Source organism: Homo sapiens, chromosome 6, assembly GCF_000001405.40.
Source record: "Homo sapiens chromosome 6, GRCh38.p14 Primary Assembly".
In the NCBI taxonomy this organism is placed as follows: domain Eukaryota; kingdom Metazoa; phylum Chordata; class Mammalia; order Primates; family Hominidae; genus Homo; species Homo sapiens.
This window is the reverse complement of record NC_000006.12, coordinates 61581845-61608336: the sequence shown is the minus strand read 5'-3', so window position 1 is coordinate 61608336 and position 26492 is coordinate 61581845. Positions and strand designations below refer to the sequence as shown.

At 37.4% G+C, this 26492-nt stretch overlaps 1 protein-coding gene across 1 annotated transcript in view, besides 3 other annotated features; it reads left to right on the top strand.

Moving 5' to 3' along the window:
- The window catches only part of KHDRBS2 (KH RNA binding domain containing, signal transduction associated 2), a 743556-nt gene that overhangs the window by 677889 nt on the left and 39175 nt on the right, over window positions 1-26492 (top strand). Inside the window, exon 14 of the transcript NR_146870.2 lies at window positions 1892-2047. The gene's annotated coding sequence lies outside the window, so the exon portion shown is untranslated. The remainder of the gene's footprint in view (window positions 1-1891; window positions 2048-26492) is intronic.
- Window positions 1499-1793: a silencer, noted in NCBI's record as "tiled region #774; HepG2 Repressive non-DNase unmatched - State 24:Quies". NCBI's record gives its function as "represses a minimal TATA promoter and a strong SV40 promoter by Sharpr-MPRA in HepG2 cells {active_cell/tissue: HepG2}" and the evidence as "EXISTENCE:reporter gene assay evidence [ECO:0000049][PMID:27701403]".
- Window positions 2007-2680: an enhancer, noted in NCBI's record as "OCT4-NANOG hESC enhancer chr6:62315562-62316235 (GRCh37/hg19 assembly coordinates)". NCBI's record gives its function as "activates a minimal SCP1, AML or CMV promoter by ChIP-STARR-seq in naive H9 embryonic stem cells {active_cell/tissue: H9 hESC(naive)}" and the evidence as "EXISTENCE:reporter gene assay evidence [ECO:0000049][PMID:30033119]".
- Window positions 2099-2393: an enhancer, noted in NCBI's record as "tiled region #7997; HepG2 Activating non-DNase unmatched - State 24:Quies". NCBI's record gives its function as "activates a minimal TATA promoter and a strong SV40 promoter by Sharpr-MPRA in HepG2 cells {active_cell/tissue: HepG2}" and the evidence as "EXISTENCE:reporter gene assay evidence [ECO:0000049][PMID:27701403]".

Sequence of the window (26492 nt, the reverse complement as noted above, 5' to 3'; positions counted from 1 at the left end):
CACATATGTATATATATACACACATATATATACACACATATAAAGGGAGAGAGTTGAGTATGTGTGTATGTGAGTATATATGTGTATATATGTATATATATATAAAACAAGCAGAAATGTTAGACTGATATAGCTATAATATGCTTTGATAATTCATAATTCAGTATTCTCTTCATTGTCCTTCATAAAAAGTATCTGGGCTATTCTTAGAATTCTTGTCTTCCAATGTGGACTTTAAATCAGTTTGTCAAGTTGCATTGAAACACCTTGTTGGGATTTAGGGAGGAATTGCATTGAGTTTAAAGATCAATTTTGAAGTAAATCATTGGCTACATTAAAGAAATTTCTAGGCCGGGCATGGTGTCTCACACCTGTAATCCCAGCACTTTGGGAGGCCAAGGTAGGCGGATCACTTGAGGTCAGGAGTTTGAGACCAGCCTGGCCAACATGGTGAAACCCAATCTCTACTAAAAATACAAAAAATAGCCAGGCGTGGTGGTGCACAGCTGTAATCCCAGCTACCAGGGAGGCTGAGGCAGGAGAATTGCTTGAGCCCAGGAGGTGGAGGTTGCAGTGAGCCAAGATTGCACCACTGCACTCCAGCCTGGGCAACAGAGCAAGACTCTGCCTCAAAAAAAGAAAAGAAATTTCTTTAATGATTTTTGGGCTATTCATAATTTCTACATCTTCTTGAGTTAATTTCAGTAAGTGTTAATTTTTTTAAAAATCATCCATTTTGTCTAGATTTTTTTAATCTTTGGCAAAGAGTTGTACAGAATTTCTCACACATCTTTTTTTTTTTTTTTTTTTTTTTTTGCTTGGAACTCATATGTATGCTTCTACCTCAAGTCTAATGTAATTTATTTTTATATTCCTCTTTTAAAAAATTATTTCAGAGGCTTATCTATTTTATTGTTTTTTAAAATCAACTAATTTTTTCTCTTGATGTTTATATTTAATTATTTTATATCTGAACTAATTTTTGCTCCCCTCTTCTGTGTGTTTATTAAATTGTGCAGTATTAGCATGTTATGTATTATATTATTTTTAATTTTTAATGGAAATTTTAGGGAAAATGTTAGCTATTCTCTCAGCTCACAGATATGGTCTTTAGTTGTGCTTATTTTACATCTCTTCCCTCTGTTTTTCTTTATTTCAACAAACTTTTAATGTCCAAAATCTCTACTTTGTCCTTTTTTATGATTATAATAGTCTGTTGTAACTAACTTTTTCCAAAAAAAATTAATCATGCGTATCCTGAAGTTTTTTCCTATTTTCTATATTACTCTATTTTGTCAGGTGTTATTTGACTTATGTTTTATTTGATAACTCTATTTTATGGTTTTAATTTCCTCCATGCATTCAGTGATTCTTGACTATTTGATCACATTTAAATCAGATAACCCTTGACCACTAAAGGAAACCAAAAATATTAAACCCCATAATATACTTTATTGACATGTTTGAGATATCTATTTAGAGGGCCTGCAGATAAAAATAAACCTGAAAAGCTGCTTTTTGTGGAAGATATTTGCACCTGTAGAGAAAAACAAACTGCCAGGCCTTCTCTGAAGCCCTCCTCAATATCCAGATCTAGGAAAGATCACTCAGCCAGTCTTCCAACTATTCTTTCTGAGGGCTGCTACCTGTGAGGTTACATCTGCATAACAAGACCTACTTTGCTAGCCATACCTTTCTTTCTTTCTCTTTCCTATAACCTGTCTTGCCATGCTCTAAGCCCCCATTCTTACCATAACCTCAAGATGATATAAAAGGATCTATTATCTGGCCGTTTCTTGGAATTTTCATATTTTGTATGACTTCCACGCACACTTCTGCACATTTAAAAATTTTTTATGCCTTTTCTCCTGTTTCTCCTTCCTTTTGTCAGTTTTAATTTTCAGCAAAACTTTGAAGGGGAAGGGCAAAAGGGAAGATTTCCCTTGGCCCGTTCATTTTTGGCACTGTGAGCAAGATAACCAAACCCACTCTGCTCTTCTGGAAGCTGAAGTCAAAGGAACACTGGACCTGACAAGTCAGCAGAAGGGTAAGAATTTCTTACTTTCACTTGTGTCCATGTGAACAGACCACCAAACAGGCTTTGTGTGAGCAATAAAGCTTTTTAATCACCTGGGTGCAGGCAGGCTGAGTCCGAAAAGAGACTCAGCGAAGGGAGATAGGGGTGGGGCCTTTTTATAAGATTTGGATGGGTAGTGGAAAATTACAGTCAAAGGGGGTTGTTCTCTGGCTGGCAGGGGCGGGGTTCACAAGGTGCTCAGTCAGGGAGCTTTTGAGCAAGGATGAACCAGGAGAAGGAATTTCACAAGGTATTGTCATCATTTAAGGCAGGGACCGGCCATTTTCACTTCTTTTGTGGTGGAATGTCATCAGTTAAGGCAGGAACAGGCCACTTTCACTTCTTTTGTGATTCTTCAGTTACTTCAGGCCATCTGGATGTATACATGGAAGTCACAGGGGATATGATGGCTTAGCTTGGGCTCAGAGGCCTGACATTCTTGTCTTCTTATATTAATAAGAAAAATAAAATGAAATAGTGGTAAAGTGTTGGGGTGGTGAAAATTTTTGCAGATGGTATGGAGAGATAATAGGTGATGTTTCTCAGGGCTGCTTTGAGTGGGATTGGGGCAGTGTGGGAACCTAGAGTGGGAGAGATTAAGGTGAAGGAAGATTTTGTGGTAAGGGGTGATATTGTGGGGTTGTTAGAAGAAACATTTGTCATTTAGAATTATTGGTGATGGCCTGGATATGGTTTTATATGAATTAAAAAACTAAACAGAATAAGACAAGGAGAAAAATATGTATTAAAGGACTAAGAATTGGGAGGACCCAGGACATCCAATTAGAGAGTGCCCAAAGAGGTTCAGCATATCCTGCCAGCAAAGATTATTTATTTACTTTAAGAGTTAAGAGTGGCGGTTTGGGGATAGCACCAGGAGATATCAGCTATGGTATGGTACTAAGCTATGGCTTGGAGAAGCAGTGTAATCCAGCAGTGTAAACAAGAGCAGGGCATTTATGAATAGTTGAGAATGGTGAATAGGAATATGACTAGACAGAAAATAGTAGGGATGGCAAGTTTTGTGGGGTGCAGTCCAAGTTGGTCTGGTGTCTGGAATGAGACTGGGGCCTAATAAAAAGGAGCATCCATACAGGAACTTAAATGGGCTGTACCTTGTAGCATCCCGAGGACAGGCCCGAATTCGCAGAAGGGCAAGTGGTAAAAGTATTGTCCAGTCCTTTTTAAGTTGGTGGCTGAGCTTGGTGAGGTGTGTTTTTAAAAGACCATTAGTCCATTCTACCTTTTCTGAAGATTGAGGATGGTAAGGAGTATGAAGGTTCCACTGAATGCCAAGAGCCTGAGAAACTGCTTGGGTGATTTGACTAATAAAGGTCAGTCCATTATTGGACTGTATAGAGGTGGGAAGGCCAGGCCAGACCAAGGAATTATGTCTTACAGAAGGGAAGAAATGACCATGGTGGCCTTTTCAGACCCTGTGGGATAGGCCTCTACACATCCAGTGAAAGTGTCTACCCAGACCAAGAGTTATTTTAGTTTCCTGACTCAGGGCATGTAAGTAAAGTCAATTTGCCAGCCCTGGGCAGGGGCAAATCCCCAAGCTTGATGTGTAGGGAAAGGAGGGGGCCTGAACAATCCCTGAAGAGTAGTAGACTAGCAGATGGAACACTGAGAAGTGATTTCCTTGAGGATAGATTTCCACAATGGAAAGGAAATGAGTGGTTCTAAGAGACAGGCTAGCGGCTTGTAACCTACATGGAAGAGGTTATGAAATGACAACAGAATAGAATGGGCCTGTGAGGCTGGAAGGAGATATTTTCTTTGGTCCAAGAACCATTTGCCTTGTGTGGGAAGAGATTGATAGGTGGAAGTTTCAGTGGTGGAGTAGGTGGGAGTGACCAGATGAGAAGGAGAAAAACTGCCATGAGGGATAAAAGTTGGAATACTAGTTGCTTTTCTTAGCTACCTTATCAGCATAAGCATTGTCCTGAGCAATGGATCTGATGCCTTTTGATGACCCTTGCAGTGAATGACTCCAGCTTCCTTTGGAAGTAAAGTGGCCTTGAGAAGAGTTTTTATTAAAGAGGTATTAATGATAGATGACCCTTGTATAGTGAGGTAATTTCTTTCAGCCCCTATAACAGCATGGCTGTGCAGGATATGGAAAGCATATTTATTTAGAGTCATATAAATATTGATGCATAGTCCTTTTGCAAGAGCAAGGGCTTGAGTTAAGGAAAGGAGTTTGGCTGGTTGAGAGGTAGTGGAGGGGGCAGAGCGGTAGCCTCAATGATAAGTGTGGAAGATACTACAGCATAGCCTGCCTTTGCTGGTGAGTGGTGATTAGGCGTGGTGGAACCGCCATCAATAAACCAAATGTGATCAGGGTGAGAAACAGGAAAGAAGGAAATATGGGGAAATGGGGTGTATGTCAGGTGGATCAGAGAGATACAGTCATGGTGGTCAGGTGTGGTATCTGGAATAATGTGGGAGGCTGGATTGAAGGCCAGCCAGGAACAATGGTAATTGTGGGAGGCTCAACAAAGAGTGAGTATAGCTGAAGGAGCTGGGGAGCAGAAAGTATATTTATCAGGTGGGAGGAAGAAAATAGATTTTGGAAGTTATGAGAACTGTAGAGAGTGAGTTGAGCATAGTTTGTGATTTTGAGGGCCTCTAAAAGTATTAAGGCAGCGGCAGTCATTGCAGACAGACATGAGGCTAGGCTAAAACATTAAGGTCAAGTTGTTTGGATAAAAAGGCTACAGGGCATGGTCCCGGCTCTTGTGTAAGAACTCTGGCTTGACTGAAATAATGGGGTCTGTCTGTGAAGCCTTGCAGCAATACAGCCCAGGTAATTTGCTGAGCCTGATGGGTGTCAGGGTCAGTCCAAGTGAAAGCAAAGAGAGGCTGGGATGAAGGATGCAAAGGAATAGTAAAGAAAGCATGTTTGAGATCCAGAACAGAATAATGGGTTGTGGAGGGAGGTATTGAGGGTAGGAGAGTATATGGGTTTGGCACCACGTGGTGGATAGGCAAGACAATTTGGTGGATAAGGCACAGATCCTGAACTAACCTGTAAGGCCTGTCTGGTTTTAGGACAGGTAAAATGGAATTGTAAGGAGAGTTTATAGGCTTTAAAAGGCCATGCTGTAACAGGCAAGTGACAACAGGCTTTAATCCTTTTAAAGCATGCTGTGGGATGGGATATTGGCATTGAGCGGGGTAAGGGTGATTAGGTTTTAATGGGATGGTAAGGGGTGCATCATCTGTTGCCAAGGAGGAAGTAGAGGTGTCCTATACTTGTGGATTAAGGTGGGGAAATACAAGGAAAGGATGTGAAGGAGGCTTTGAACTGGGGGGAAAGGTGGCAATGACGTGTGGCTATAGCCTAGGAATAGTCAGGGAAGCAGACAATTTAGTTAAAATGTCTTGACCTAATAAGGGAGCTGGGCAGGTGGGGATAACTAAAAAGGAGTGCTTAAAAGAGTATTGTCTAAGTTGGCACCAGAGTTGGGGAGTTTTAAGAGGTTTAGAAGCCTGGCCATCAATACCCACAACAGTTATGGAGGCAAAGGAAACAGGCCCTTGAAAAGAAGGTAATGTGGAGTGGGTAGCCTCTGTATTGATTAAGAAGGGTACGGACTTACCCTCCACTGTGAGAGTTACCTGAAGCTTGGCGTCAGTGATGGTGTAGGGGGCTTCTGAGGCGATCGGGCAGTGTCAGTGTTCAGCCACTAAACTGAGAAGATCTGGGAAGGAGTCAGTCAGAGAGCCTTGGGCCAGAGTTCCAGGGGCTCTGGGAGTGGCTGCCAGGTGAGTTGAACAGTCCAATTTTCCGTGGGATCCTGCACAGATGGGACACAGCTTAGGAGGAATCCTGGGCTACAGGCATTCCTTGGCCCAGCAGCCAGATTTCTGGCACTCGTAGCAAGATCCTGGGGTAGGCGGTCCTGGAGGAATGCCTGGCCACTGCGGTTCAAGCCTTTGGAAGTTCTTGTGTCCTGGAGATTTGGCTGGGGTTTGTCTCACAGTGGAGGCAAGGAACTGCAACTCAAAAATACATTGCTACTTGGGTGCCTCTACTCTATTACTGTACATCTTGAAGGCTAGGTTAATTAAGTCCTGTTGTGGGATTTGAGGGCCAGAATTTAATTTTTGGAGCTTTGTTTAATATTGGGAGCAGACTGGGTAATAAAATGCATATTGAGAATAAGACGGCCTTTTGACCTTTTAGGGTCTAGGGCTGTAAAGCATCTCAGGGTTGCTGCCAAATAAGCCGTGACCTGGGCTGGGTTTTTATATTTGATGAAAAAGAGCCTAAATGCTAACTGATTTGGGAGAGGTCGGATAAAGAAAAAGGAGCATTAACCTTGACTATGCCTTTAGCTCCAGCCACCTTTTTAAGAGGGAATTTCTGGGCAGGTGTGGGTGGGCTAGTCACGGAATGAAACTGTAAGCTGGACCAGGTGTGAGTAGGGGAGGTGACAAAAGGATTATAGGGTGGGAGAGCAGAAGTTGAGGAAGAATTGGGACCTGGCTCAGCCTGGCTAGGAACAGCCTGGGGAGGAGGGGAGAGGTGAGATGGGTCTGTAGAAAAGGAATATTGGAAAGACTCAGCAACACTTGGGGTTAGGACTGAGGGGACAGGTGGGAGGGAAAGAAGGAGGATTTGGGATGAGTTGCATTGGGAACAGAGACTAGGGAGGTACCGATGTGTAAAATAATGCCTGGACGTCAGGCACCTCAGACCGTTTGCCTATTTTATGACAAGAATTATCAAGATCTTGTAGTATGGAAAAATTGAAAGTGCCATTATCTGGCTATTTGGAACCACTGTCAAGTCTGTATTGGGGTCAAGTGGTGTTGCAGAAGAAAATAAGATGCTTAGATTTTAAGTCAGATGTGAGTTGAAGAGGTTTTAAGTTCTTGAGAACACAGGCTAAGGGAGAAGAAGGAGGAATGGAGGGTGGAAGTTTGCCTACAGTGAAGGAGGCAAGTCCAGAGAAAAGAGAGGGTAGAGACATGGAGAGAAGGGGTGGGGGGTGCCTGCCCCCCAGGAAAGTGGAAAAGGGTTGGGGGATGCTTGCCCCCCAGGAAAGTGGAGAGAAGAGAGGGTAGAGAAATGGAGAGAAAGGGTTGGGTGAGCAGCCCTGGGCTGCAATGTGGGTGAGCAGCCAAAGCAGGCATCCCCACAATTGACTTGCCACCAAGGGAATGTGGGTGAATGACCAAGGCAGGCATCCCTGCAGTGATCAAACACCAATGAAATGTGGGTGAATAATCAGGCAGACGTCCCTGCAGTGATTAAACACCAAGGGAAGACTGTCTTCCCGAGTCCATGACTGGCGCTGGAGTTTTGGGTCCATAGATAAAACGCATCTCTTTGTCTCTACCAGAAAAGGAAAGGAACTGAAATTAAGAGAAGGGAGAGATTGAAAGATGTTGCCAAGATTGAAAGGAGAAAGAGGTTGTGGGATAGTGAGAGAGGTTGGAGAAGAGAGTAAAGAGAGGCCACTTATCCTATTTAAAATTGGTGAGATGTTCCTTGGGCTGGTTAGTCTAAGGACCAGAAGTCGTAGACGGATCTCTTCATGGAGTGAGGGTGAGGGCAGGGGGCTGATCTCCTGAAGAAGTCCCTCTGACCCGGGTCTTCGGCACCAAATTTCACTCGCGTCCATGTGAAGAGACCACCAAACAGGCTTTGTGTGAGCAGTAAAGCTTTTTAATCTCCTGGGTGCAGGTGGGCTGAGTCCGAAAAGAGACTCAGTGAAGGGAGATAGGGGTGTGGCTGTTTTATAAGATTTGGGTGGGTAGTGGAAAATTACAGTCAAAGGGGGTTGTTCTCTGGCTGGCAGGGGCGGGGTTCACAAGGTGCTCAGTTGGGAAGCTTTTGAGCCAGGATGAGCCAGGAGAAGGAATTTCACATGGTAATGTCATCACTTAAGGCAGGGACTGGCCATTTTCACTTCTTTTGTGGTGGACTGTCATCAGTTAAGGCAGGAACAGGCCATTTTCACTTCTTTTGTGATTTTTCAGTTACTTCAGGCTATCTGGATGTATACATGTAGGTCACAAGGGATATGATGGCTTAGCTTGGGTTCAGAGGCCTGACACTTACCACTCATATTCCCAGGTGTTAGCCTGTGGAACCCATCAAGGAATGGTACAAAATAAATAAATAAATAAATCACTATTTGTCTCTTTTTCTTTTTCCAAATTTAAGATTAACAAGTGAAAAGCATTTATGCAGACTAGCCTTAAGTGTACCAACTGTCATGTAATTTTTTGATATGAATCTTCATACTGTCTGAATCTTTTCCTTCCAGAAATAGTCTTTATTTTTTCCTTTGTCTCTTTCTGTGTCATTTGTCGTAGAGTCATTCTCATCTTGTTCTACATTCCTGATAGCTTGGCTTGTGACCAAGTGGCAGCACTCTTTACTGGTCTCTGCCATTTGGGGGACCTGATTTTCAGGTTCTTTCCAGTGGCCAGTGTGAAAGGACTGGGAACAGAGTCATCAGATATTAAGCAGCACCTTCTGTCTTCTGAATGGGCTAAGTTCTCACAGGAGTTTGTCTTTATAAGAAATCCCATCCATGAAAGGTTTCTGTTGTCTCAACCCTTGTTGCCTGGCTAATCCTGGGAAAGTTCAATCCTAGGAGGGCCTACTGGGTGTCAGATTTAATGGTTCTATGACTGCCAACCCTCCATAAATTCATGGAATACTGAAGACACCATATGTGCAAACACTATCCTTAACCATCTGTGGCAACAAGAGTGTTTCACTATCTTAGCTTATTTCTTGGAGTGAATTTTTGAGAAAATTTTTTGGGGGGGCTACATCTTCTGCACCCACTTTTAAAAATCCACTCATGTCCATGGTATTCAAAATCTTAAAAGTTACCTCTGGGACTTTGTATGAAAACAGGCTCATTGGCTTGAATCATTTATGAAACAAATAAGCTGACTATATATGAAAGAATACTATTTAGAGAGCTCTCATCTTAAACAGCTGTTTTATTGGAATACAGCCTCAGAAACTCCCTTGGCAATATCAAAAAGAGCGTATAAATCAGATTTACAACAAAGTTTATCCCAGCACTTTGGGAGGCCGAGGCAGGTGAATCACAAGGTCAGGAGTTCGAGACCAGCCTGGGCAACATGGTGAAACCTCGTCTCTACTAAAAAATACAAAAAATTAGCTGGACGTGGTGGCAGGCACCTGTAATGCCAGCTACTCAGGAGGCTGAGACAGGAGAATTGCTTAAACCTGGGAGGTGGAGGTTGCAGTGAGCCAAGATCACGCCATTGCACTTCAGCCTGGGTGACAGTTTGAGACTCTGTCTCAAAAGAAACAAAAACAAGCAGAAAAACAAAAACACAATTTAAATTCTTTGTACACTCAATGCTCAACTGCCTGTTTTGAATACCCTGATGTGCAAAAAAAAAAAAAAAAAAAAAGAAAAGAAAAAAGGACACTCTACCCTTTATTCTAGAGTTTAGAATTTGGCTGTCACTGCTGCAGCCTAGCTTTGATTCTAGGTCAAGGAACCAGGGAGAGATGTAAAGTTTACCACTTTGAAATGTAAACTTCTACAATAAATTCTTAAGTAGATTCCGTTGGGTCAGGAAAGAAACGTTTATAAAAGTTAGTTTGAATTACTTGCTTTGGATGTATATTTGTATAACTCTTGACTATTTTGGGTACCAATTTGCAATTCTTTCTACCCCCAGGAAAAAGTTTTTGATCTCCTGTCTTACTGACTTTCTCTTTTAATCTTCTGTCTATGGGGCACACTGGTAATGGAGTATGTGTGAGTAGACAGTCATCTGAGAATCTGAGACCCTATAGAATACAACTGGACAGAAATGTGGGATGTACCTCATTTGGCTAATAAAACTTTCCTTTCTTTGAGCTGTCATCGGGAATGGTCTGAATCTTGGGAAAGGCATTGGTTAAAGCCATAAAGGGCCTTATGTTATCAGTCTCACATATGCTTGTTTTGGCTTTGAGTCATTTGTTTAGGTATACCTCTTGTTTAAAACTTTGGTTTATATCTAGAGTATGGTAGCAACTTTTTCCCCAATTTATCTTGTTTCCTATATTGAGCCTGACAGACATGGCTACCACTGCCACTGGGAACTGAACTAGTGAGCAGGCAAGGCAGACTCCTCACAGTCAGCAGGGTCTTGTGGCAGGGAGTGGGGTGGGTGGAGGTGGGGGAGACACTGCTCCCACAGCCAGCACCCCCATTCCCTCTGCTCCAGTGAAAGGCTGGCTGCTCAGAGTACAAAATATTTGCTCCTTAGATATTTAATTTTGTTTTAAAAGAGTCAAAAGTCAGCTTAATTAAAAGCTGGTATTAGGCCATTAAAAAAAAAAACACAAAAAAAACCTCTATGTTTTCCTTTAGATCCTATTTCCCCATGTTTCTTTGTTTGTGTGTTTTTGGCAACTGAAACCCCTTCTTAAATGTTTAGTCCCTTTGGTCCACTTCTTTTCCCGGTGGCAATAATCTTGGTGTATATATATATATATGTATATATATATATATATATATATATAAAAGGTGCAAAATTCCATTAGTCCTTTTGGAAAGCTTAAGATCTCCCCAGACTGGCTCCTCTAGGACTCATTCTTTCATTTACTTCTGTCCCCCATTCTGCCACCTTCAATTTCCCATCCAGTTTCCTTTAATCACTGATAAGTTACCCTGCAAACCCCTACTTTCTCCATTCAATGGTTAATGGATAAGAATTAGTAAGAACAAATATGAGAGTTCTAGTTATCACATAAAGGGTCTAAAAGAGACTTCCAGTGACTGTGAGACCTCTTGAGGAACACAATCAAGGTGCCACTGGCCATTTCTTGGGTCCCTTGTTCACCTCACAGAGCCCTAGGGGTCAGGAGTTGGTTTAGCTTTATTCATTAATGGGCTCCGCCTTAAATTGCATATCCAATTAAGACACAGAATCTAAATTAAAGTCACCTCCCAACTAAATTGGTCCCCAAAGTACAACTTTCTGGCATTTGGCTATTTTTAAACTCTTTGTAAAAGAAATTTACACCTAAAAAGAAAATCTTTATTTGAAATGGCATCTTCCTCCTCTGTACCTAAACCACCAGAAATTTTTACATGAGAAAGATATTGACTTAAACGTTTACATAAAAAACTATCTTACTTTTGTTTAAGATACTTTTCCTGACTATCATGCCTTAACTAGGCCTTTACCTATGCCGTTCTTTGTCTTGGCAAAAAAATGATATTTAGATCTAAGCTCTGTGTCTTTGAGATATAAATTTCTACTTTGTTTCACCTAAGAGTCATCCCTTTGGAAGTACAAATGTGGCTGGGCACGGTGGCTCACACCTGTAATTCCAGCACTTTGGGAGGTTGAGGCAGGTGGATCACGAGGTCAAGAGATTGAGACCATCCTGGCCAACATGGGGAAACTCCGTCTCTACTAAAAATACAAAAATTAGCCAGGCGTGGTGGCATGCACCTGTAGTCCCAGCTACTCAGGAGGCTGAGGCAGAAGAATCACTTGAACCTGGGAGGTAGAATTTGCAGTGAGCCGAAATTGCACCACTGTACTCCAGCCTGGTGACAGTGTGAGACTCCATTTGAAAAATAAATAAATTAATTAAATTAAATTAAAAAAAGAAGTACAAATGTAGGGTTGCCTAGTTAACAACTACTTAGAGCAATAAAACAGGTCATCAGAATAGTTATGTTCTAAATGAGGAAAAGAAACACTCTTTGGAAGCTGGCAAGTAAAGAATCTTATCCAAACCTAGAAGATCGGCTTCTGTCTGAGTAGCTATAGGACTACATGTCTATGTGTATTAAGTATACATGATATTTCTATATAATTTGAGATAATCTTTGGTAAATACAGCTAATTTAAAAATTGTTGGTAAAATAAAATGTCTTTAGAATTTTCAGTACTAAAAATAATTTAAAATTTTTTGCGTGGGACTATTGATCAGATTTTGGCTTCCCCTGTTAGCAGTCTTAAGATCATGAAACTGTTGCCTCTGTAATTTTTTTATATTTGTTTGGTTTTTCCATAAGCTGAAGCTGTAAGGGCTGCCTGCTGGGCTCCCCTGAAGCCTTGCACACATCTTGCTGTGAGCTTATGTCTTTGTTTTTGAGCCTCTGGATTCTCAGATCTGGACAGGTGGCCATGGAGAGGTGTGTCTACAGCACCTGGGTCACCAGCTGCCATCTTCACAGCTCTGTCTTCTGTTCTGAGCTCCACACCTGGTGTGTGAATTCAGAACCCAGGTGGGTCCTGCCTTTCACAGCCATCCTCGATGATGCCTTTTGTGGGTACTTGAAACCCAAGATGACTAGAAAAAATATTTGGGAGGGTACCTCTGTCATAGTTTCAAAATTATTTTCAGTAATTTAAAATATTAAAGTCATGTTATGTTAAATTAAGTAATAATCATAAAATGTCTGAGTCATTTGTAAGTTAAATACTAAAACATTAGTTATTAATATGTTTGTTTATATACTTTGACATCGTTTTATATCATAAAGCTAAACTTAGATCTGTTAATTAATGAAAAATTGAGAAAACATTTTTATAAAAAATTATGAAATGCAATTCATCTGAAAATATGAAACAGCTCAAAATTACTTTCTAGGTTTTCACTAGAAATTAGAGCTACCAAAAGTCAAAATTTAAATTATTATATGTAATTAAGAGTATTAAAATAAGAGAAATAATTTTATATGCAAAGTGTATGAGAGAAGCAAGATATGCTTTTGTTGAGGAAAGTTATAAATGCATGAAGATGTGTGTTTGTTAAAAAAATAGTTTTGTTTCTCAGCGAAGAAAAAAATGACATAGATTTCTACTTTGAAAAGTTGGGGAAATGGATACAGAAAGTTAGGGAAAGGGAATTTCTAAATTTTGTGTGACTAAATATTCATTAACATTAAATCTTCGTTCATCTCTTAATGGACACTTAGGTTGTTTCTAAATCTTGGTTGTTGTGAGTAGTATTGCAATAAACATGGGCCTGAAGATATTTCTTTGAGACACTAATTTCCTTTCTTTTTATAGATACCTAGCAATGGGATTGCTTTATTATAAGAGTTTTTAGGTTGAGGCTTAATAGCAAAAGTCACTAATGAAAAACTAGAGTTTGATTTTTAATAAGAATTTTATATAGTATTAAAAAGAAATAGTAAAAGATTGTGGTACCTCCTTTGAGTAAACTCAAAAAACAGTGGGGAGAGAGAAAAGGAAACAGAGACTGTATGTCTGATGCTGATTTTGTTATGTCTTTTGATTATTTGGGAACTGAGTCTCTTCTCTTGGTGAAGATTTTTGCTTTCTGAAACCTTTTCATTATCACTGTGGCTAAATGAATGACTGTTATTTTACAGTGATTTGTGATCCTATTTTGGTCAAGTATTTTAAGCCTTTGACATATTTGACAGGCTTCTCAAAATCAAATTTCACAAATCAAAATTAAGTCTTTTTGACCTCAAACTTACTTTGGGATGTTACAGACAGCCCCTGAGGCATCTGAAAAAGAGATAGTAAACATATTTATTTGATATGTTAAGTTATATGGGAAGCATTGTCCAAAAAGTAATAATGTTGACTCTTCTTTGCATTATATTTGCATAAATGTGTTCCAAAATTGTATGAGATTCTTAAAAATCTGATATATTAAATTGTAGGCCACAGAAAATAACTAAAGGAGTTTGTCAATTGCATCTCTAACCATGGCCATTTTAAGCCTTTTGTCTGCAGTAAATTGCTTTCTTCTGATGCTTTTTTTCCTAAAAACTTTTTGCAAATGCTAAAGTATTGTGTCTTCAAGGAAGTTTATGGAAAAGACTACAAAAAGTACCCTGAAATACAGGTTTCTGACAACTTTAAGATCATACAATTGGACTAGGTAAGAATTTTGAAAACTCCAATTAGAAAACAGGACTCATAAAATTACCAACCTAGCATCAAGCACAGTAAGAATTAAATATGTGGGACTGAACTGATGAATAATTGAAATGATTTTTATATTTTTTTGTTTAAACTGTTGCTCATTTTTTAATGTTTTCTTTTCTAGAGTTAAGAAAACTTTTTTATTTTATGCAATTTGTAGCTTACAGGAATTGGATGAATCATACTTTTGTGAGTAAAATTGAAATGTTTACCTTTTTCACTACCTAATCCCTCCAGAATTTGTAAATTGTTTGGGATTATTCTTATTTTATGGCAGTATACATATTTGTATGAGCTCAATAAAGATATTTTTTCTTTTATTACAAGTCACAATTGGAGATACTGTTATTTTACCAAAGCTTTGACTGGAATGTCATATTTTCAAATGTGACCAGGCTGCTTTGAGGTGTTCAGCTTGACTTTATAAAGCCAATAGACTTGGAGAAAGATTAACCTGATACTTTGTCTATATAGTTCCTTTACATAGTTTCTGACCTTGCAGTAAGTAAAGAATGTGACAGGCCCAGGAAACTCAAGATATTTTGAGGACCTTAAGAAGAATTCACCCAATTCATACAGATATTACAGACACTGTCTTTGGTTTGGCTCCTAAGCCTTTAGAAGTTTTCCAAAGTCTAATTCAAAAGTCCTTATGAAAAAGTTCCGTAAAGCTAACTTAAAAATAATCTATATGACAAGTACTATTCTTGCTGCACTTTATACAAATAATCAGGACAAGTATAATAAGACTAAAATTTATTTTGCAAATAAATTAGTCTTACTATAATTTATCTTTGGTAGAAGTAGAAGTGAGAGACTAAGGAGAGAAAAACTATGTGTCAAAAAAAAAAAAAAAACCTATAGTACATTTGTAATGAGATTCCAGCTCATTGTGGCTTTTTAAAATGAAATTTTATTATTTATCTGAAATCTAGACTAAATCCTAAATTTTTAGTTTCCTCCAGTATCTGGCTGTGACTCTCCAGATTAACATTTCCAACTTTTCTCCTACCCTTCTGACTTAAAATCACTAGAGATTAAAACTGCTTCTCTTAAAGCCCTACAAACTGAAACTAGACAACTTGACATAAATGTTGGGAGAAATTGTTATAGCAACTTATAAGCAGCCTTCACGCCTATTGACTTATGAATTATGCAGAAAGTTTACTAGAACACTTGACTGAAATTACAACCTAAGAACATCTGTCAGTTTGCCACTGCCTGCCCAATCCAACTAAAGATGCTTCAGAGACTCTAGAAAAACTACTTTATAGACTACTCCAGACATTAACCTTTTTTTCTTCTTCTTCTATTTCTATAGAAATTCCCCTTAAAGATCTGTTTGCATAAATCATATATAGATGCCTAGCTTTGTGTTTTCATCTGCAATGCCACCTCCTGGAATGGGACTCAACTGTTTAACTCTTGGAATGAGACTCAACTATTTAACTGACCTGACAGATTCTCATATTCTCAAGACTGAGTTTGATTCAAGAAGATTTGGCTGCTGGTCCTAATCCATGCTTTTGTTTTTCTTCGCCAATCTCTTATCTCACAATCTCTAAGCCAATTCTCTCTATAGCCACCAATCCCAACTTAATATATGAAACTTTCTGAAAATAAACTTTCAGCTGGGAGACTAAAAAAAAACAAAAATATTTCACCCTAAAATATACTTCTTTGAAATATTTTGAGTTAGCTATTCAGAGAGCCTGCAGACAGGAATAGCCTTGAAAAGCTGCCTTTTATGGAAAATATTTGCATTTGTTGAGAAAAATCTACTTCAGTGAAATAAACTACCAAGTTTCTCTCAGGCCTGCCCCTTTATCGAGATCTAGGAAAGATGAACTCCACCACAGGCTTCCATCTATTCTTTCTGAGGTCTGCTACCTGTGAGGCTTCATCTGCATAACAAGACTATCTTTGCTGGCCTTACCTTTGTTTCTCCTTCTCTCCCATAACCTGTTTTGCCATGGTTCAGGCCCTTATTTTTACTGTAACCTCAAGATGATATAAAAGGATAAACCATCTGGCCTTTTCTTTGAATTTTCATATTTTGTATGACTTCCATGCACACGTGTGCACTTTAAAAATCTGTAGCTCTTTTCTTCTCTTTCCTCTTTTTTTTTTTTTTTTTTTTTTTGGTGGGATCTTGCTCTGTCACCCAGGCTGGAGTGCAGCGACACAATCATGCCTCGCTGCAGCCTCAATCTCCTGGTCTCAAGCCATCTTCCCACCTCAGCCTCCAGAGTCACTGGGACTACAGACCTGAGCCACCACACTGGGCTAGTTTTTTCTGTTGTTTGTAAAGATGAGGGTCTCTCTATGTTACCCAGGCTGTTCTTGAATTTCTTGGCTCACATGACCCTCTCTTGCCTTGGCTTCCCAAAGCACTGGGGTTATAGTTGTCAGCCACCACACCTGGCCCCTTTTCTCCTTTTAATCTGCTCTTTGTCAATTGATTTTCAGCAAACTTTCAGAAGGCAAAGGGAAAGTTTTACCTTGACCCCTTCCCTGCTTTGATGATTACTGCTTGCCCCTGATGTTTACTGAAAAAGAAAGAGCAGGGCTGTGGTAAATTTGGGATGTGACTTAAATTGTTTTATGGGTAGAGGCAACTTTGTCTTTCTTGGAAATCAATAACTCCTTGTCTTGATTTTACAATTCTGTTCTGTGGACCCTGATCTGGTTTCCTGCTTCATCTTGTGACCAAGGGACACACAAACCACTGCTTGATCAAGTAAGGGAAAAGAGGGAGTTACTAGAGTTTAGTTACTCTAGGTGCACGAGATACAGCTCACCAGTGAAATCATCCTGACCAACAGGATGGTTTCTCCAACAGGAAATATCACTACCTCAGAAGTATTCAGATCATGTTTTGTATTTTGTTTTCCTATTGTTTTACTTTTCATTTATCCATTTATGTTTGCTTTTTATATTTTGGAAATTTCATAATGGTTTTGGTTTTCTAATGACATTCTATATAGCTTCTCCATACTTATGGATTTATTCATTGAATAAATTAATTGTTATATATTTTCATTGGCTTTTAGAAGGGAAAGTGAATAGGCACATATTCTTAGTTTTTCATTGTGGTGCAATCTCCCTGCTACTGATGATAATTTTATGGGAAAACTTGACACTCTGTCAATGATGAAGGAATTCCAAGGCACATTATTTCCCCACAAGTGCAAGTCCCTGAAGCACAGTATGAGAAACAGTGATCAATTGTTGTGATTTCATTCTCATCCTGCAACATTTTAAATGTGTTCTGGCTTCCCATATGTCTCTACCTATAGAAAGAATGTAAATGATGCTCTTTGAGTGTTCTACTCTGTATGGTGGCAATTTCTTATTGTAAATTATAAAGTACTCATTCTGGTTTGAAACATTAATCTGTGGATTTTGTCTCATGTTCCTCTAAGCCTAAAGATGAAGCATCCCATGACTATGAACAGAATTAAGTTTCTTAAAATTTAATGTTGAAAATTAGACCTTGGATATGTAATCATCAAAAGTCTGGACTTTGGCACCAAATATCCAGAGTATGAATTCCAGATTTTTCATTGAATAACTATGTCATATTGTTAGCTCAGTCCCCTCATCATAAAAAAGTAGTTTGGCTTATAGACTGTACTTTATAAATATTGACAAAAGACCAGAAAGTAAATTCACATAAGTCCTATTTCCCAAAGTAAACCCACAGGATATTAAATGTTTCAAAGAAGAGAAGTCCTACTGTGAGAAACAAAGGTTAAACAGGATTATTTAATTTATATCTTCTTAGATCCCATAACATGTTATATATATCATGTTTGAGTCTTTAATAGTGGTATATGATATATAGATAAACTTATTTGACTCCAAAAATATTTTATCTCAGAGTAACTTGCAGAATTTATTTTCTCAGATAAGACTTTGGATGCACCAAGGTCAATGTCACCTTGATGGTCTCTTGGGAGACCGCAGAGCTGTTATGTATGCAAGAGACAATACCCAAGACATCTCCATGTGTCTGGTAGTGAATGAATTTTTAGTATTTGTAGCTTTCTGGAGTGCAAACTCAATACCAAGAAATTCTGCATCATAAAAGTGCTCCATACTTTTAATAGTCCCCATCTTTTTTCATTATTGCAACTTATTTTTCAAGATCCCAGTCCCCGAGGCCTGTTGAGCAGAATGACTAATCCAGGAATGCAAAAAAAATGGGCAAAAACACATATTAAATAGGCTAAACTATTGAGCTTCCTCATCTAATATTTGTTTCTATTTGGCTGCTATTTTTTTTTACCAGCAGATGCCTCTTGGATACATAACACTTAACCACATCCAAGAGTCCCATTCAGTGCTAGGTTTTTCTGTTACTGTGGGGGGACTGTTTTTGAGCAGTTGATCATTTGGGAATTTGAAAATATATCATAAGGTTGCCTCCTTCCTCTGTTGGTGAACGGGACTGACTATAACCCTCATAGGGAATGTGGGAGAGATTATTTATAGTCCTCTGTAAGGGAAATAAAACTCCAAGTGAAATATCACTAAAAAGATTATTTTCCAACATCCACAAACATCTCTTTTTGGCAAATGAATTTCTCTTCCTCTATTACCAAATACTTGGGGCAAGGAAGACATAGAAACAGAAAATCATCCACTGGTGGGACTGGGAGTCCTTGCACCCTTAACTTGTTCCTATCCAGTCCACAGTTTGCTCAAATTATATCCAAATAGTAAGAAGGGGTATTCTGAATATGTTTGAGTGATGTAGCTAGTTCATAATGTTTTCAGGTCAAATTATCCTGAGAAACTTGTACAATAAGTAAAGAAAATGTTACTTGAACTTAGAAAAAGTTACTCAAACAATAAAAAAACCTTATTTAAACTTAGTTGCTGAAATACATACTTACTCTTAACTATAGGAAGACATTTAGGTGTTGTCCTGAATAGGCAAGCTGTCTCCCAAAAGGTGTCCTTAGTGACTTTCATTCTTTCTGAGAATCTAAAAGGTCAAAGCTAGAATTATCTGAACCATCTAACTGCAATCATGAAATTAACTTGATATCTATAAAATCTTGATACCTATTTTATTTTATTTTATTTTGCTTTAAGTTCTGAGATATATGTGCTGAACATGCAGATTTGTTACAGAGTTATACATGTGCCATGGTGGTTTGCTGCACCTATCAACCTATCATCTATATTTTATGTCCTGCATGCATTAGGTATTTGTTCTAATGCTCTCCTTCCCTTTGCCCCCCTACCCCCACCCCCTGACAGGCCCTAGTGTGTGTGATGTTACCCTCCTTGTGTCCATGTGTTCTCATTGTTCAACTCCCACTTATGAGTGAGAACATGCAGCATTTGGTTTTCTGTTCCTACATTAGTTTGCTGAGGATGATGGTTTCCAGCTTCATCCATGTTCCTGTGAAGGACATGAACTCATTATTTTTATGGCTGCGTTGTATTCCATGGTTTATATGTGCCACATTTTCTTTATCGAGTCTATTATTGATGGCCATTTGGGTTGGTTCCAAGTCTTTTTTTTTGAGACAGGGTCTTGCCCTGTCAGCCATGCTGGAGTACAGTGGCACAGTCATGGCTCACTGCAACCGTGACCTCCCGAGCTTAAGTGATCTTACCACCTCAGTCTCCCAAGCCACTGGGACTGCAGGCATGTGCCACCATGTATGTCCAGCTAATTTTGGTTTTGTTTTTTTGTAGAGACAAGGGTCTCACTATGTTGCCCAGGTTGATCTCAAACTCCCAGTCTCAAACAACCCTCCCACCTCAGCCTTGCAAAGTGCTAGGATTCCACTTTTTAACAAAGTACTATATCTGAGTATAATTGTGAATTTTACCAATTTAAATCATGTGATCCACAAAGTATCACTCTCACATTCTCAGGCAATGCAACAATAATCATAGTCACCATAATGGAGGTTAAAGAAACTTTAATTTTTCTTAAATTTCTGCAACCTCAAAAGAGGAGAAGGTAGAGGAAGGGAGAGAGAAATGAATACAAAACAGACAGCAGCAGCTGCAATGAATGTCCTCTTTATCTTACTGTTGCTTTTAGAGTTATTGACACAATTAATCACTCATATTTGCATGGAGATTTATAAATTTACAAAGTGAACAAGCAGTAGTTACATGAATCATAATTAGGATAATCCATTAAAAACCCTAATAAATGGACATTTAACTAAATGGAAATGGAACTAAGGGCTCCCAACTCATCTTTTATCAACTAGTTTGATGATGGTAGGGTGTGGCCTTTTCTTGCTTGCCACGGTGTCTGGCTTAGAATATGCAGTTCATAAATATCTGTCAATTAAATGAACTAGAAATTGGTGACAAAAGATGAAGAAGTCCATTGCCTGAAAATGCTGTTTCTTAAGCACAGATTTGAATGCATACATGGGAAAGATGTCTACCGTTAGTTTTCTAAGCATCTATAATTAGATAGTAACATCAATCTCTGGAAGGGAGAGACTAGTCATTTGAAATGATGTGTATGCATGGGACAGTGTAAGGGCATTGAGAGAAAGATGAAATCGGAGAAAGACAGAGACAGTTTAGTGTAAAGATATGTTCTGTAACCAACGACATTCTGAAAGTTAACCAATCCATTGTTCTTATAGCATAAAGAACCACAATCTGTCAAATCAAAAATATCATTTTTTTTGGCCTCAACTCTGGGGCCAAAACTAGTACTAGTACAGTGCTAGTATTGTATTAGACTGACTCCACACGGAGGAAGACTGGGACATCCATGCCAACTTTAGTGTTATTTCTGAATGTCTGAAAGTGAAAAATGTAGGTTTTCTATTGAAATACCACAAAAATAAGGGTAAAATGCAATACTAAGCTAGTATTACACAAGGCGAGTGCAGATGTTCCTGTTGGTCTGGAAATGTGCTCTCACAGTAGGTTCTGCCCCCAGAAACCTGTTTGCAGAGAGAGAGAGAGAGAGATAAAAAAAAGCTGTCTCTTCATAGTCTCCCTAGCACCAGCTGACTGTCCCTGGACACATGGTTAGGAAAATGATGGTGAGATTTCAGTTACAACACAATTCATACGCATGCTAGTATATTTGAATTGGCAGCTCCAAAAGAAGTATCTGCTAAGTCTAGTTGATATAAGGCCCAAGCTGTGATGCAAAAAGCCAGCTGTGGCTGCTTCCTCATTAGGAGGCTTGCTATCAGGAGAGTGATAAGCAGCACAGAGTGTTGGTGGGGGAGTAGGCAGTGCTCTCAGTTTTCCCAACTCATGACAGCATCAAATGCTGAAAAGAGAATAAAAATGGCAAGGAGAAAGTGAAATGAACGGGTGTGCAGCTAAATTAGTCAGAAGGTATCTTTATGCACAAAGAAATTTGAACAAGTTTTCTCATGTATTATTAGTCAGGACTTGAGAAATGCAAAAACCCTATTTATATTAGATTAACCTCAAAAGGGAATGTAACAAACTGAAGAACAGAGAAGTTCAAGGATGAAGCTGGCTTCAGGCATGTGGAGAATATGGGTCTTGAATGCTATCTTCAGGGCCCTCCGTCTCCCTCATTCCTGCTTTCTTTTTTTTCTGGGCTGGCTTTATTCTTTCCTTTTGCATATATATTTTCTTTCAAGTGACTGGGAACATGGCCGCTGGATCCCTAAACTCAAATCCTCCCAGACTAGAACCTCAAGTAGAAAAAAACCTTTCTCTTTACAAATGTCATAGATTGATATCAAGAAAAATTCTAATTCCTCTATAGAGTCCTATGTCCAGTCTTGTACTAGTCACCTTGCCAAGAATGTTGGATTCTTTGATTGGCCTGAGTTAACACAAAAGTCTTGGACACTGTCATTACAGGCATTATTAGAGCCACTTAGAGAGAGCTAGGGAGTTTCCTTAGAGAAAGTGAAAACTGGTCCCAGAAGTGAGGTGGAAAACGTGGAAGATATTCTTCCCAAAAATCAATCTGTTTCATAAAGAAGCAGAGTGGGAAAATGCACTGAAAAGAAACAGAACTCACCACTAAAGGGGCAATGTTCTGATATTGGGACAAATACACATATCGGGAGACACATGCTCCTTGAAGCTTGTGTAGCTGTATCTTAAATCAAAGCATTTTCCTAATTAATATCAGCAGGATCTTTTTTATTGTAAGTAACAAATGCCCAAAGCAAACTGGCTTAGCAAATAAAGGATTTAAGTAACTAAAAAATCCAAAGGTTCTGGTGTCTTATGGCAAGGCTTGATTTAGAAGTTCAAACAAAGTGACTGTGACCTAAATTCTGGTTCTTTGTTTTTCAGTGTTATCTCAGTGTTGGCTCCACCATCAACAAACTTCCCCTTCATAGTCTGGAGAAGGCTACCAATAGCTCTCAGATTATCATGCTTTCTCATTCATGATAAGCACAGAAGTTAATTGTTCTCTAATTTCTAAATAAGAGATCTGGGGTTCAGTCTAATTGAATTAATTGGATATCAGTTAGATACCCAGTGAACCACTGAAATCAGAGAAATTGAATTATACCAATTATTATAAGCTTGAGCCCTTGGTATCAACCTGAAGCAATGAACTATGTGAGGTAAGATGACTATCAAAGAAATATTTAAGTGCTGTTCCCAAGAGATAGAATAGATGCTGAGTGGGCAAAAACAGTAAACGTTCAAAATAAAAAATTTTACCATAACCTCTTTGATGACTCAAGCACATTTCAGGACTTTATAATGCTTCAGAGTCCTCACAATGATTATTAGTTATTATAAAGTGTTGTGGTACATCTGATGTCCAGAAAAGATCTTGCAAATCGTATTTTCTAAGCCTCTTATCTTAGAGAATAGGAAAGAGGTTCAGAAAGGTGAAATGGCTTCTCAAAAGCTATAGTTAGCATGTACTATAATTATAATTTTAGTCAAACTTTCCTTGTATTTCCTTGTCATGATTGAGACAGTAGTCAGTACCACTGAATTATTATTGCATGAGTTTTGGAACACTGTAAAATGCTTTCATCACTGGATGAAGGCTTACAAATGATGAAGTACCATTTTTCTCTATTTTATGGTCTTTTTTTTGAGGACTTTTTAAAAACCACAGCTCTGTCTGATGGTTTCTCTAGTTTTACTGAACATTTTTTTTTATCACTCTTTCATGCACTGAATGAAAGATGGTCCTAGGCACAAATCCACAATGGGTTTTAAGTAAAAATGATTAGTTATGTGTAAAATAACATTGCATTCAAGTTGTTTTGCTGCAGCTCTTTTCGACGCTCCACAAAATCACATAATTTCTACATCATATTACCTATTTTTCCATGAAAGGAATACAAGAATAGTTTCAAAGAAAATTTACAATTTTGGTATAAATTTACACAGCTACATAGAAAAAATCTCAAGTGTCAATATGAAAAAGAAAATTTGCAACAGGATTATAAAATCCTCTATAAAGCAAATTTTATGCTTTCAAAAATTACGCTTTAAAATTTTTTTGTTTGTTTTCATGAAAAAAACATGCAAAACTCTAAAGTTGTTATATTGTGATTTCTGATACCACTGAATATTCCCAATCTCTACTTCAGATTCTGTTCACTAAGGGTCAATAAATAAGCCTAGAGGAGGTATTATGTAGGATGACTAAACAAGAAGTATGCACTCACATTGCTACCATATTTTTATTCTAATGATCTTGAATCTCTTGTTAGTTTGTTAAGTCATCCTTTTAATATCCCTAAAATTGTAGATGCCTAAATCCTTAAAAATAGCAAATTAAATTCATCAATATACAAAAAATGATAAACGTTTTACTAAATGGGGTTTATTCTACAAATGCAAGATTAGTTTACCATATGCAAATCAGCCAATATAGTTAATCACTTTAGCAGATTGAGGAAGAAAGGTCATATAATAATACAAATAGGTGTTTTTGATAACTACCCATTTATATTAAAAACTCCACAAACAAGAAATAAAACTTCCTCAAGCTATTTGAGCATCCATGAAAAACTTAGAGCTAATGTAATACTTAACAGTGAAATATTAAACGCTTTCTTTTTAAGATCAGGAACAAAACAAGGTTGTATACTTTCATCACTTCTATTTAACATTGTGCTAGAGCTAGTGCTGGTGCAATGGGACAAGAAAAGATAGGAACAGACATGCAGATTGGAAAAGAAATACTAAGACTGTCTTTATCTTTGACATGCAGATAACATGATAATGTTATTTAGAAAGTTCTAAGGACATCTATGAGAAAAGTACTAAAGCTAATAACTAAATATAGCAATGACACAGGATACAAAGAATATAAATATCAGTTGTATTTATGTATGCTAGCAATGAAAAATTTGAACTTGAAATTTAAAAATGCCATCTACAATAGCATTCAAAACATTAAACAGTTATGCAAAAATATAATAAAAGATATATATATACATAAGATAGCTACATTAAAAACTATGAAACATTTTATAGTTCACTTAAAAAGGACTAAATGAGAGATACACTGTGTTTATGGGTTGGAAGACTCAATACTGTTAAGGAATTAATTTTCCACAAATTGATCCATATGTTCAGTACAGGTTCAATAAAAATATTAGCAAGATTATTTCTAGAAATTTAAAAGCTAATTTAAAAATTTATTTTAAAAAAACAAAGGAACTAGAATAGCCTAAATAACCTAGAACAAGAAGAACAAAATTGAAAAACTTACTCTACCTGACTCCAGATTTGCTATAAACCTACAATAGTCAAGTAAGTGTGGCAAAGGATGAACAAATAGGCCAATGGAACAAAATAGAGTGAAAATTAGACTTACACATATATGGTCAAATAACTTTAACAATGATGTCAAAGTAATTCATTGAGGTAAATAAAGATCTCTTAAATAAATGATATCCATATAAAAAGAATCTTGTTGAATTCATAATAGCTTTATTCATATTGGCCCCAAACTGTAAACATCCTAGAGGTCCATCAAAGAATAAATAAGCTGTGTTATTTTACAAAATAGTGTTCTACTCAGCAATAAAGAGAAACAAACAATTTATATATGCAACAATATAGATGAATCTCAAAAATATTTTGCTGAATGAAATAAGCTAGAAACAAAAAAGGTGGACACTGTTTGGCTCAGTGAAATTCCAGAATAAGTAAAATTAACCAGTGGTGATACAAATCAGATCATACTTCTCAGAGATATCAGTTCATTGAAAAAGGGCATGACAGAATTTTGTAGAATGGTAGAAAAGTTCTTATTCTTGATATGCATCCTATTTTCCTATGAGAGTGAAAGAGACTGAAAATGTGGCTACATGTTAACAATCAGTGAATATAGATCAAAAACATAGGAAGTTTACATTACTATTCCAGTGTTTTTCTGTGGGCTTAAAATTTGTCTTACATAAAATGGTTTTTTGAAGAAAGTAATTAATTTTGTCCAATTTTCATTATGAAAAGATTTGAAAAGACTTATAGCAAGAATACATACAAAATTATAATTATACAAGAATGCATAAAATAAATTATACAGTAAAATGTAAAATGAGGTCTAGAGAAAAACAGGACCAAGAAAAGTTTATTACAAATCTGCAACCATATATATCTTAAAGCTTTAAATTTATCTCTGTGCTTCTAAAACAAAAAGCAGTAAAAAAAAAAGTTACATAATAACTACCATAAGGAATATGAAGATTTATCTTTGTTGGATCATGAATGTTATGCTAGCTTTATAAAATTGTAAAAAGAAGCTGTTTTCCCATCTTTTTTAAGTTCTGGAACATTTTGTATGATATAGAAATTTTGTTCTTTATACTTTGAAGAAATTTATCTATTAAAACCACCTCTTCTCTGAATCACTTTATTAGTGATATTTTGAACACTATTTTAGTCATCTGCTTAATAGTCTATTCTGGCATTATACTTTATTCTGATTAAATTTAGGAATTTTTATAGTTTTCTGGAATTATATACTTTTATTTTTAACATCTGTATCTATTTGTATATTATTGTTTTAAATTTCTTCTCTTCTATGGGCCTGCTAGGCTTTTTTGCTTGTATCATTTTCTAAAGCAAAATTATTTTTCATTGTTCAGTCTAAATAACTATTTACTGCTTCTTATTTTCCTCTATTTATTGTTCTTATGTTTGGTTTATTACTTTTGTCTAATTATTTAAGTTAAATGCTTAGCTCACATATTACCACCCTATTTTCACTTTTACTTTTAATATAAAAACTTTTAGATCATAACTTTACTACTATTCCAAAAGGGGTTCACTTGCTTTTTATTACTTAAATAATTAGAAGTTGTAATATTATCTTTTTTGAAAACTAAGATTCCTTTTTATTTCTTTTTAAAAAATCTCTAAGTTTAGAAACATTTTCCCTTTACACCCTTGTTACTTATGTCTAGATTTAAAATTAGAGAATATGGTTGCTATAATTTCTAATTTTTCTTGTAAGTTTTTAAAGGGTAAATTTTTGAAGATTCATGAGCACTTCATATACTCT